Genomic DNA, 13,060 nt, shown 5'->3' with positions numbered 1-13,060 from the left:
TTGTGCTACCAAGTACTCGATTTTATTCCTTCCGTGTAGCTACGTTTTTATATCCATTAACCATCCTCACTCCCCCTCATCCCTGGCCCACCTACCATTCTGGTAACCATCCTTCTACTACTCTCTGTCTCCATGAGTTCAATTGTTTTAATCTTTTTTTTTTTTTTTTTTTTTGAGACAGAGTCTTGCTCTGTTGCCCAGGCTGGAGTGCAGTGACGCAATCTTGGCTCACTGCAACCTCTGCCCCTGGGTTCAAGTGATTCTCCTGCCTCAGCCTCCTGAGTAGCTGGGATTACAGGCATGTGCCACCACACCCAGGTAATTTTTGTATTATTAGTAGAGTTGGGGTTTCACCATCTTGGCCAGGCTGGTCTTGAACTCCTGACCTCGTGATCCACCCACCTTGGCCTCCCAAAGTGCTGGGATTACAGATGTGAGCCACCGTGCCTGGCCCATATGTACGACATTTTCTTTATCCATACATCTATTGGTGGACACTTAGGTTGCTTCCAAATCTTGGCTGTTGTGAATTTTAAACATAAGAGTACAGATATCTCTTTGACATACCTAGTAGTAGAATTGCTGGATCATATAATAGTTCTATTTTTAGTTTTTTGAGGAACTTCCATACTGTTCTCCATAGCAGCTATATTAGTTCACATTCTTACCAAAAGTGTATGAGGGTTCCCTTTTTTCCACATCCTCGCCAGCATTAATTATTGCCCATCTTTTGAAAAAAACCATTTTAACTGGATTGAGATATGACAACTCATTGTAGTTTTGATTTGCATTTCTCTGATGATCAATGATGTTAAGCACCTTTTTATATGTCTGTTTGCCATTTGTATGTCCTCTCTTCAGAAACTTCTATTCAGATATTTTCCCCATTTTAAAATTTGGATTATTAGATTTTTTTCCTGTTGAGTTGTTTGAGCTACTTATATATTTTGATTATTAATTTCTTGTCAGATGAGTAGTTTGCAAATATTTTCTTCCACTTTGTGGGTTGTCTCTTCACTTTGTTGATTATTTTGTTTGCTGTGCAGAAGGTTTTTTAACTTGATGTGATCTCTTTTATCCATTTTCCCTTTGTTTGCCTGTGCTTTTGGGGTATTTGCTCAGGAAATCTTTGCCCAGACCAATGTCCTGGAGAGTTGCCCCAGTGTTTTCCTTTAGTAGTTTCATAGTTTGAGGTCTTAGATTTAAGTATTTAATCCATTTTGATTTGATTTTTATATATGGTGAGGTAGGGGTCAGTTTCATTCTTCTGCATGTGGATATTGGTTTCCCAGCACCGCTTATTGAAGAGACTGTCCTTTCCCCCAATGTATGTTCTTGGCACTTTTATAAAAAATGAGTTCACCGTAGGTGTATGGATTTGTTTCTGGATTCTCTATTCTGTTCCATTGGTCTATGTGTTTATTTTTATGCCAGTTCTGTGCCTATTTTGGTTACTATAGCTCTGTAGTATAATTTGAAGTCAAGTAATGTGATTCCTCCAGTTTTATTCTTTTTGCTTGTGATGGCTTTAGCTCTTCTGGGTCTTTTGTGGTTCCATATAAATTTTAGGATTATTTTTTCTGTTTCTGTGAAGAATGTCACTGATTTTTTTCTTGTGGTTTTGTTTTGTTTTGAGACAGAGGTCTTGCTCTGTCACTCAAGCTGGAGTGCAGCAGCATGATCTTGGCTCAATGCAACCTCCATCTCCCAGGCTCAAGTGATCCTCCCATCTCAGCCTCCCAAATACCTGGCACTACAGGTGTGTGCTACATGCCTGACTAATTTTGGTATTTCTTGTAGAGATGGAGTTGTGCCATGTTGCCCAGGCTGATCTCGAATTCATTGGCTCAAGTGATCCACCCGCCTTAGACTCCCAAAGTGCTGGGATTACAGTTGTGAGCCACTGCGCCTGGCCATCATTGGTATTTTGATAGGGATTGCATTGGATCTGTAGATTGCTTTGGATAGTATGGACATTTTAACAATATTGATTATTCCAATCCATGAACATGGAATAACTTTCCATTTTTTGGTGTCCTCTCCAATTTCTTTTCTTTTTTTTTTTTTTTTTTTTTTGGTGAGCTGGAGATATACTCTTGTTGCTGAGGCTGGAGTGTAGTGGTGTGATCTCAGCTCACTACATCCTCTGCCTCCCAGGTTCAAGCAATTCTCCTACCTCAGCCTCCCGATTAGCTGAGATTACAGGCATGTGCCACCACGCCCAGCTAATTTTGTATTTTTAGTAGAGACAGGGTTTCACCATGTTGCCCTGGCTGATCTCAAACTCCTGACCTCAGGTGATCTGCCCACCTCGGCCTCCCAAAGTGCTGGGATTACAGACTTGAGCCACTGTGCCTGGTCTGTCCTCTCCAATTTCTTGCATCAGTGCTTTATAGCTTTCAGTGTAGAGATCTTTCACTTCTTTGGTTAAGTTTAATTCTGGGTATATTATTTTATTTGCAGCTATTGTAAATGGGATCACTTTCTTGATTTCTTTTTCAGATTGTTCACTGTTGGTATATATAAATGTTACTGATCTTTGTATGTTGAATTTTGTATCCTAAAACTTTACTGAATTTATCAGTTCAAATAGTTTTTTGCTGGATTCTTTGAGTTTTTCCAAATATAACATCATTTCATCTGCAAACAAGGATAATTTGACTTCTTCCTTTCCAACTTGATGTCCTTTATTTCTTTCTCTTGTCTGGTTGCTCTAGCTAGGACTTCCAGTACTATGTTGAATCACAGTGGTGAAAGTGGGCATTCTTGTTGTGTTCCAGATCTCAGAAGAAAGGCTTTCAGATTTCTCTCATTCAGTGTGATACTAGCTGTGGGTCTGTCATATATGGCTTTTATTGTGTTGAGGTATGTTCCTTCTATGCCCAGTTTTTTTAGGATTCTTTTTTTTTTAATCATGAAAGGATGTTGAATATTATCAAATGCTTTTTCAGTATCAGTTGAAATGGTCATATGGCTTTTGTCCTTCATTCTGTTGATATGATGCATCACACTGATTGATTTGCATATGTTGAACCATCCTTGCATCCCTGAGATAAATTCCACTTGGTCATGATGAATGATCTTTTTGATGTGTTGTTGAATTCAGTTTGCTAGTATTTTGTTGAGGATTTCTGCCTGCCTGCTCTTTGCCTGAGAGTTTAGCCCAGGCTTTTTGGCCTGGCAACATCATCCTGCTTGACCCACAGCAACTGTTCAGCAGAAAGAGCCTTAGCTCCTAACCTAGCAATTGGAACCAGGGCTGAGGGTCAAAGGGATATAAGTGTACCTCACTAAAGCTAACCTGTTGTGCGTAAACCCACACTCAGGAACACAAGCGAACCTCACTAAAGCTAGCATGTCATATTTAAAAATAAATTAGAGGCTGCTTCTCTTCACAAAACTTTTTCCAAAGAGCAATTTGCTGTGGTTTGGATGTGACCTCCAAAGTTCATGTGTTAGAAATTTAATTGGCCGGGCGCGGTGGCTCATGCCTGTAATCCCAGCACTTTGGGAGGCTGAGGCGGGCGAATCACGAGGTCAGGAGTTCCAGACCAGCCTGACCAATATGGTGAAACCCCGTCTCTACTAAAAATACAAAAATTAGTTGGGTGTGGTGGTGCGTGCCTGTAATCCCAGCTACTCGGGAGGCCGAGGCAGGAGAATCACTTGAACCTGGGAGGTGGAGGTTGCAGTGAGCCAAGGCTGTGCCACTGCACTCCAGCCTGGGCAACAGAGTGAGACTCCATCTCAAAAAAAAAAAAAAAAAAAAAAGAAAGATTTTTTGTATATGTTTAGAGGGCTCACTTTCCTTGCAACTTTTTGGGCATAGACTTATTGAAATTGAGATATAAAAATCAAGAGGTGAGTTAGCAGGGATTAGCTTATTTTCAGGGGCCATATGATGACAAAATTCCTTATTACTCCAGATGCCAGAAAAGGTGGAGATGAAACTGAGTGGAACTGGGAACATCTGCCTCAAAAGGTTTGGCATAAATTCTCAAAACATCTGGCATCCCTTGTTAGCATTTATCACTCTACTGACAAGCTGCCTTCCACTGATCCTCTAAGCCATTCTTGACTACCTAACAGAACAGACAGCCAGACACTCAGTGTTAAAAAGACTTGACTCTGCTTCTGGCTCTGCCATGTACAAGCTCTGCTACCTTGGGCTGCCTGCTGGTATTTCTGGTCCTCAGTTTTTTAAATTGTAAAACAGAGATTGTTGTACTTATGTAAAGGAAAAAATAGACTTCTTTTCTCTCTGTTTACACCCAACAGGATACTTCGGTGATCAAATGTCGGGGGTAGAAGTTTTCCCCCAAGAACTAATTCTCCAACACCAGCTGGGTGTATAGAGTTTAATTAAATTCTGACACCATTTACCTGGAGTTAAAGTCAGATCCCATGGGTTTCAGGCTCAGCCCCCCACTTCAGATGCCAGGCACAAATCTGGGCTTCTGGATCTTCTGATCTGTTTGCTATAAATCGGAGGTTCTCATAACCCCTTTTTCAGGTTTGATCATTTGCTAGAGTGGCTCACAGAATTCACGAAAGCACTTTAGGTACATTTACCAGTTTATTATAACAATATTACAAACGATACAGAGGAAACGCCAGATGGGAGAGATGCAGAGGGCAAGGAATGGGGGAAGGGACACAGCATCCTTGTCCTCTCAGGGACACCACCCTCCATGTACTCAGCAGTGCACAAGCTCTCCACACTCCCATAGTTCAGGGGTTTTGATGGAAGCTTCATCACATAGACATGATCGATTATTAACTCCATTTCCAGCCCTTCTCCCATCTTCAGGGAATGAGGAGTAGGGCTGAAAGATCCAGGATTCTAACCATGGCTTGGTCTTTCTGGCGACCAGCCCCCATCCAGGAGTCCACTGAGAGTCATCTCCTTAGAACAAAAGATGCTCCTGTCACCCAGGAAGTGCCAAGGGGATTGGGAGCTCTGTGTCAGAAACCTGTGCCAAAGATAAAATATTAGAACCCAAGATGCACCTAGAACCTCTATTGTTCAGGAAATTGCAAAGGTTTTAGGAGCTCGGGGCCAGGAATTGGGGGAAGAGACCAAATATATGTTTCTTATTATATCACAGCCTACCTTGTAGGGCTTTTGTGAGAACATGAGGAAGTAAGTGGCACCCAGTGAGCACTTGGTAAAGGATGGCTGAAAATGTGTTAGACTTTTAACTCTTGAGGTAACAACTTCCTTAAGTGTATAATACGCACATGGGGTTCTTTAGGTCCCAGTTCTGTCCAAGATCAAGACGATCAACCTGAGAGGGCAACTTTTCAGAAGCCACGAGAGAAAAGACGGATCTAGGAGTAGTCAGGAATGTAACAGTAGCTCAACCTCCCAGCCTGACAGTCAGGGGCTTAGGGCCTGAGAGGCCCTGGTAGTGAATCCGTCTGAGGCCTGATCAGTGACAAAGTGTGAGCTGCTGAATGAGGCTTTAATCCAGGAGGTGTTGAAAGAGCCTAATAAATACTTATTCCATTTTGTTAAATCTAAGAGCTTTTTTTTTTGGAGACAGAGTCTTGCCCTTTCACTGCAACTGAAACTTCTGCCGCCCGGGTTCAAGTGATTCTTATGCCCCAGCCTTCTGAGTAGCTGGGATTACAGGCATGTGCCACCATGCTCAGCTAATTTTTGTATTTTTAGTAGAGATGGGGTTTCAACATGTTGGTCTTGGACTCCTGGCCTCAAGTAATCTGCCTGCCTCAGCCTCCCAAACTGCTGTGATTACAGGTGTGAGCCACTGCAGCTGGCCAAAATCCAAGAGTTTGAAGAAAAACACTACGTTGATTTTTTGTGTGTTCCTCTTACCACGTGAGATGTGGCCCTGAAGAAAGCATTAAACCAGACCCTGCCCTAATGGATGACAGGCCTCTGATGGACCCTTACTGGGCTCTTGCTCCTGTGACCAGAAGCAAGAAATGTTCCCAGGGAAAACAGATTAGCAGGCTGGACTGGATGCCTTTCTGAGAGGGAGCAAGAACTGTCCTTTGTACCTTAGGTTTTCGGGCTCAGCTGACACCACACCAGGGAACATATAGTAGATTAGTTTCCTAGGATTGCACAACAAAGCACCGGACAAAATAACAGCAATTCATTCTCTCACGGTTCTGGAGGCTAGAGATCTGAAGTCCAGGTGGCAGCAGGGCTCCTTCTGCTTTCCTCACCTGTTCCTGGAGGGCAATCATTGGCGTTCCTTGGTTTCCAGCTGCATCACGGCACCCTCTGCACATGGCTTTCTCTCCACGTGGCTGTGTCTTCACTTTCACTTGGCACTTTTTTTGTTTTTGTTTCTGTTTTTTTTGTTTTTTAGATGGAGTTTCACTCTTGTCGCCCAGGCTGGAGTGCAGTGGCATGATCTCAGTTCACTGCAACCTCTGCCTCCTGGGTTCAAGCGATTCTCCTGCCTCAGCCTCCTGAGTAGCTGGGATTACAGGCATGTGCCACAACACCCAGCTAATTTTGTATTTTTAGTAGAGACAGAGTTTCTCCATGTTGGTGAGGCTGGTCTCCAACTCCCAACCTCAGGTGATCCATCCGCCTCGGCCTCCCAAAGTGCTGGGATTACAGGCATGAGCCACTGCACCCAGCCTTACATTAGCTTTATAACCAAGGGGAAAAAACAATTTTTAAAAAATACATATACAAGTAATTTCCTGAAATGTGCATTCCAGGAAAGTTGTGGCTGGGAAGAGAGCAGCAGTTGCTGGGGTCCAGCTGATTCCCTTGCCTATAAGCCACAGCCATCACCCCTGTGGAGTCTCTCCACTTGGAAGGATGGCTGCTTGCATCAGAATGAGCCATGATGCTTGCTAAAAAATGCAGAATGCAAGGTGCCACCCTAGACCTACTAAATCAGAATCTCTGGGCACAGGGCACAGGATTTTTCAATTTAACAGGTTTTACACACTGCATTTGAAACCCCTGGGATTTAGAGGCTGTGGACGACCCACTCTTCAGTAATCCAGTGGTTTGTCACACTAGCCGAATGTGCCTCCTCAGCCCTTTCAGTACTCAACACTGTGCTTTTTTTTTTTTTTTTTTTTTTGACAGAGTATCGCTCCATCACCCAAGCTGGAGTGCAGTGGTGTGATCTTGGCTCACTGCAACCCCCCAGGAGGAGGAGGTTCACGCGCCACCACATCTGGATAATTTTTGTATTTTTAGTAGAGACGGGGTTTCGACATGTTGGCCAGGGTGGTCTTGAACTCCTAACCTCAAGTGATCCTCCCGCCTTGGCCTCCCAAAGTGCTGGGATTACAGGCATGAGCCACTATGACTGACCTAACACTGCTTTGAAGAATAAAACCAAATAAAGAGAGCTGTTATTCTTTTTATAAAGTCAATTCTTGGTTGTACCTATGATGGGAAGCTGCAAAGCAAGTTATTCAAAATAATATAAAATTCATAATTATATTTTATTTTGGAATCTAGTGGCAGCAGAGTGCTCTTCTTAATTTGTCCTAACAATTAAAATGAGTTGACATCCCCATACTCAACACTATCAAGTTTAGAATGAAGAAAAGTACTTTGCCCCCATTAAAAAGTAAGTATTCTGTATGTAGTTAGTTGAGAGTTGTCATTATAGACATGATTATTTTTAACTCACAATCTTGAGTTTTCCTTTATTGATTGGTGTACAAGACTAATATCTGGGGACAGTAGAAAATTCTCTGCTTTTTTTTTTTTTTTTTTTAAAAGACAGAGTTTCACTTTTGTTGTCCAGGCTAGAGTACAAGGGCATGATCTCGGCTCACTGCAACCTCTGTCTCCTGGGTTCAAGCAATTCTCCTGCCTCAACCTCCCGAGTAGCTGGGATTACAGGTGCCCACCACCACGCCTGGCTAATTTTTTGTATATTTAGTAAAGATGGGGTTTCACCATGTTGGCCAGGCTGGTCTCGAACGCCTGACCTCAGGTGATCCATCCACCTTGGCCTCCCAAAGTGCTGGGATTAGAGGCGTGAGCCACCGTGCCCAACTACAAATTCTTTAAGATGTGCCTGAGTTCAGGGCAGGGGTTGGCTGAGAAGGCCCTTCCAGCTCCGAGACGCTGTGACTTGTCAGAGCAAGGGGTGTTGTAACGTGCTCTGAGAGGTCCCAACAGCTGTGCCACTGGCCATCTCTTAAAGAGGTGAAATTCAACACTGCAGAGAGGCAATAACTCGTGGTATTAGTCCACACTTGCTTCCGGAGCGGGTCATCGCCTCTTAGGAGAAAAGATGAGCCATCTCGAGAATGAGAATTTTTGTCTATGTGTGGGAGCAAGCAGAAAAAAAGAACCAGCAACTGGGAGGCTCTGCCTTTCGCCTCCTGGAGGGGTCACATTCCCTTTTGAGCCTTCACAGGGATGGCTTCAGGAAGCCATTTGCACCCCTCCCTCCACCTGACCCCCCTTTTTGTGAGGGAGGAGGGTGAGAGGAAACAGCCTGTGGAGGGCTAAGTGCTTGGCACCTTAAATAGCACCTCCATTTGTGCTTTGTCATGATCCCCGCGCTCTGGCAGGAGCGGGCTCTCCGGGCGCTGGGTGACAACTGCCTGGGTTCAGGGAGGCCTTGAGCAATCAGCGGGAGGAACGCGGGCTCTGAGGAGCAGAGGGCCGGGACATCAGGCCTGTGCCTCCCCCAAGCATGCCCTTCTTTCCTGCTGCACAGGGAGGAAGCAGAGGGAGGCAGCTGACGGGGTCAAAACCCATCCAGGAGAAAAAATTTTTAAAGGAAGCCTGGTATCTTTCACACAACATGTAATTAACTCTCAGCAGAAAATGCCACGGATTCATAATGGGAGCCGACAGCGGGGGAGGACGACTCTGACAAGCATGAGATTTCTCATGTTGGGTTTTTTTTTTAATTTAATTTTTTAAAGGAACATGAACAGTTGCAATGATAATCGCGGACCTTCAGTGATGGTGTCTCCCAGCAACAAGCCAGATCCCGCTGTAGCCCACCCTCTGCCCTGGCAAGATGAAAGTGGAGTAGGGGGCTTTGTTGCTTCAGAGCAGCAGTCATGGAGCCCTGGCCTGGCCCTGATGGATGTTTCTCATCCCTGATGCCCTGAAATGGGCCCGCCAAGAAGCCCCGACTCTTTTGGGCTGTCCCCACATGTGGGCTGTCCCCAGAGCTCTCTCCTCTCCATGACAGCAGTCCTTGGCTTCATCCGAGTCTCTGGCCTGGGGCTCTCAGGGTCATGCTTCTGGCACAGCTCAGGCTCCCCTGGGTGCCCTGCCCTCAGCAGGAGACTGCACCCTGGGAGGAAGGGAGGTGCAGCTGGAGAGGAGGAATGGTGGGGAGCCCCAGGGCAGGGTGGCTCGAGGCAGGCAGTATCTGGATGGCTGCCAGAATAGGGGCCAACCCTCTCCCAGGCACAAAGGGCTCTCTGTGAGGGACACACCAGCCCCAAGTGGAATCCAGGAGGCTCATGTTTCTTAACACAAAGGAGGGTCATTCCCAGACCAGCCTGGGTGTGGCCTGGAGGCTGAACCCCTCTGGGCAGTGCCCTTGGACTCCCAGGGACCCATGTGGGGGCTTCGGTCCTCATTCTGATCTGGGCTGCGCAGGCAGATGGAGAGAGGCCTGGGCAGGCGGCCTCACCTCTTCCTCTGGGAGGGGCCTTCCTAGGTCTCCCCTACCACATTCTCCCTCCCGCACACACAGGTGCACACATACACTTGCACACTCAGAGTCCAAGGGAGAGAAGATTCCCAACCTAACCACACTTAGATTAGCCAAGTACGTTGTGCAGACCCTTCTTCTGGCTGGGAAGCATGTCACGAGAGCCACTGTGTGACCACAGGCAACAGGATTCCTTCTCTTCAGAACTCAGAAGTGCTCCCTGCCACGAAGCACCTCCTCAGTGTGACCCTGCCAAGCATAAAATAGATATGCATACATGTACACACACATACACACATATACACACACACACACACACATATATATATATATATAGAGAGAGAGAGAGAGAGAGAGAGAGACCTAAAAATGGCATGGAACAGATTTGAAATGGTCCGTGCTGATGTATCTTTCAGCCAAGCCTGAGGCTGATTTGGGTGGCTGTGCCCTGTGGAAAGAGATGGGTCAGGGAGATACCTAAATACTCATTGGGACTTGTGGGCTTTGTGTTTTTAAATGGAAGAGTTGGAGTAGGATCTCTACGGTCTCTTCAGCTCTTGGTATAGGCCTGAAAGCCACAAGGCTGGATGTCCACCCACCAGCCCCACTGCCTACCCAACTCCCAAGACCCCGCTGCATCAGAGGTCTCTGTGGATGTCTGTTGGGGCACTGGCAGGCACAGTCCCTCCCTGGACCATAGCTGAGGTCTGAGGGTAATGGATAAGAAGTGTGTGGGATTTTCAAAGACTGGCCTTTTCCTATCCTGTATGTTCTGCATTGGGAATTATGGAGAAGACATTCATTTATTGAACACACATTTCTTGGGCACCATTCATGCACCAATAAATAAAACAGACACAATTTCCTGCTCTTAGGAGCTTACATTTGACACAACACATAGGAGCTTCCCCTCCATATAGTTTGCTAAGGTGGCTGTAACAAAATACCACAATCTGGGTGGCTTGAACAACAGCAATGTATCCTCTCACAGTTCTGGAGGCTGGAAGTCCAAGGTCAAGGTGTCAGCAGGGCTGGTTCCTCTTGAGGGCTGTAATAGAGGACCTGCTCCCTGCCTCTCTCTTCTGGTGGTTTGCCGCCATCTTTGGCATTTGTGTGTTGTAGAAACATCACGCTGATGCTGACTTCATCTTTACATGGGGTTCTCCCTGTGTGAGGTTTGCCTCTGTGTTCAATTTCCCCTTTTTATAAGGACTCATTGGATTAGGGTCCACCCTCATGACCTCATCTTAACTTGATCATTGGCAAAGACCCTATTTCCAAAAGAGGTCACATTCTGATCCTGAGGGTTAGGACTCCAACACATCTTTTTTTGGGGGTGGACACAATTCAATCTGCAATGACTTCTATAGAAAAGTGTACGAAAGCACGGAGGGGAGCACCCGCCCTTGAGGCACCTGAGGTCTCCTGCTTCCACAGGCTCTCACCCAAGTCCCTCTGATGTGGAGCCTGGCCATGGCCCATTCCCTACCATAAGGGATGCTGAGAATTCGAGTTTCTGGCTTCTACCCTGGGGAGGCAGGGACATTTATTGTGAGATTTTCTCCAAGTGCAGGAGGAACATTCAAAGGATTCATGCAAATGTGGCCATAAAGCAAAACAGAAATCCACTATGCTTTACCTGGGTATGGTAGCACACGCCTCTCTTCCCAACTACTTGGGAGGCTGAGGTGGGAGGATCACTTGAGCCTAGGAGATTGAGGCTGCAATGAGCCAAGATCACACCACTGCAATCCAGCCTTAGCAACAGAGTGAGAGCCTCTCAAAGAAAGAGAGAGAAAGGAAAGAAAGAGAAATAGAGAAAGGAAAGAAAGAGGAAATAAAGAAAGAAAAAGAAAAAGAGAAAAGAAAAAAAGAGAGAAAGGAAGAAGGAAGGAAGAGAGAGAGAGAGAGAGAGAGAGAGAGGCTGGGCACGGTGGTGCACGCCTGTAATCCCAGCACCTTGGGAGGCCGAGGCGGGCAGATCCCGAGGTCAGGAGTTTGAGACCAGCCTGGCCAATATGTTGAAACCCCGTCTCTACTAAAAATACAAAAATTAGCCAGGTGTGGTGGTATGCGCCTGTAATCCCAGCTACTCAGGAGGCTGAGGCAGGAGAATTGCTTGAACCTGGGAAGTGAAGGTTGCAGTGAGCTGAGATCGTGCAACTGCACTCCAGCCTGGGCGACAGAGGAAAACTCTGTCTCAAAAAAGAAAAAAAAGAAGAAAGAAAGAAGGAAAGAAAGAAAAAAGAAAGAGAGAGAAGAGAAATCTACTATGCAGGTGCTTTTAGGTTTTCTCCAAGGGTACCTAAAAGCAGCAGCTGAGGGCGACAGCTTGTATTTCTTATGTCTGCAATTTAGTGCCTTGTACTGAGTGCTGCCCACTGCAGGGACTAAATGTTGATGACCATAGAGGACACCTGGCAAATCTAGATGACAGCTGACATCTAATAAGCACTTACTATGTACCAGGCATTTTTCTAAGCTCTTTCAATGTGTTGCCTCATTTAATTCTCAACAATAGCCTGTGATACAGGATGGTTATTATCCCCCTTTCACAGATGAGAACACTAAGGCCCAGAGAGGTTAGGTCACTCCACCTAGTAAGTAGGAGAGGTAGGAGAGGTAGGATTTGAACCCAGCAATCTCAGCCTGAGACTGAGAGCTTTACCACAGGGCTTCCTAGTAGATTTAGAAGGTGAGAGATGGAGGAAACTTGCCAGCCCATGTTCGGGGAAGGCAGGGCCCTGCTGTCAACATGGGAGTTCAGTGGAGCTGCTCTTGGTAGCACGTACGCTGTGTCACACTCCCTGAGCCAGGTGAGTATGCTGCTGGCCTGCTGCAACCTAGCCTCATTAAGGCATCCTGACAAAGTGCTGGAGAATACTGGAAGGCAGGTGTGGGAAGAGACGTGGGAGGTTGGGGGAGAGACCGGCAGCTGGTGAGCTGCAGGGCCCCCCCCCGGGGAGGCTCTGCCTGCGTTCGTGGCTGAGGAGGAACTGCGTCAGAAAACTGAGGATTTCCAGACTCAGCGGGGTGGTTCCAATGCTGGCTCCCCGCAAGGGTAGGAAGGGCCCCAAGCTGGTACCCTGCCAGGGTGCTGCCACAGGCAGGCCAGGATGTTCCCAAGGCTTCTTCCTGAGTGACCTAGAGGAGCAGCTGGGCCTGGGAGGGGTCGGGCAGCTGCCGGGGCAGGCTCTCCAAGCTGGGGTGCATTTGCAAGGTGACTCAGGTCCCCACCACATGCTCAGAGGCAGAGACCTGGGACCTTTGTGCAGGCCCTGGAGGAGCTCTACCCCCAACACCCTCATCCTGTGACTCTGGACTTTAGAACATTGATATTTCTATTCCTTTGGAGAAAAGATGGGAAAAGAAGCAGAAGGAGGCACAAATAAAGGGAACACATTCTCACAGCCCTAAAAACA

The 13,060-nt window shown here is 46.4% G+C and overlaps 4 annotated features.

Annotated features, from left to right (window-relative positions):
- Positions 6,006-6,055: an enhancer, noted in NCBI's record as "active region_27777". NCBI's record gives its function as "activates an Ori minimal core promoter by ATAC-STARR-seq in GM12878 lymphoblastoid cells {active_cell/tissue: GM12878}" and the evidence as "EXISTENCE:reporter gene assay evidence [ECO:0000049][PMID:35858748]".
- Positions 8,270-8,780: an enhancer, noted in NCBI's record as "H3K27ac-H3K4me1 hESC enhancer chr8:103807313-103807823 (GRCh37/hg19 assembly coordinates)". NCBI's record gives its function as "activates a minimal SCP1, AML or CMV promoter by ChIP-STARR-seq in naive H9 embryonic stem cells {active_cell/tissue: H9 hESC(naive)}" and the evidence as "EXISTENCE:reporter gene assay evidence [ECO:0000049][PMID:30033119]".
- Positions 8,295-8,534: an enhancer, noted in NCBI's record as "active region_27776". NCBI's record gives its function as "activates an Ori minimal core promoter by ATAC-STARR-seq in GM12878 lymphoblastoid cells {active_cell/tissue: GM12878}" and the evidence as "EXISTENCE:reporter gene assay evidence [ECO:0000049][PMID:35858748]".
- Positions 10,979-11,183: a silencer, noted in NCBI's record as "fragment chr8:103804910-103805114 (GRCh37/hg19 assembly coordinates)". NCBI's record gives its function as "represses an EF-1alpha promoter that drives an FKBP-Casp9 reporter gene in an ReSE screen in K562 erythroleukemia cells {active_cell/tissue: K562}" and the evidence as "EXISTENCE:reporter gene assay evidence [ECO:0000049][PMID:32094911]".

Source organism: Homo sapiens, chromosome 8 (genome assembly GCF_000001405.40).
Source record: "Homo sapiens chromosome 8, GRCh38.p14 Primary Assembly".
Lineage (NCBI taxonomy): Eukaryota > Metazoa > Chordata > Mammalia > Primates > Hominidae > Homo > Homo sapiens.
This window is presented reverse-complemented; position numbering and strand designations above follow the sequence as displayed.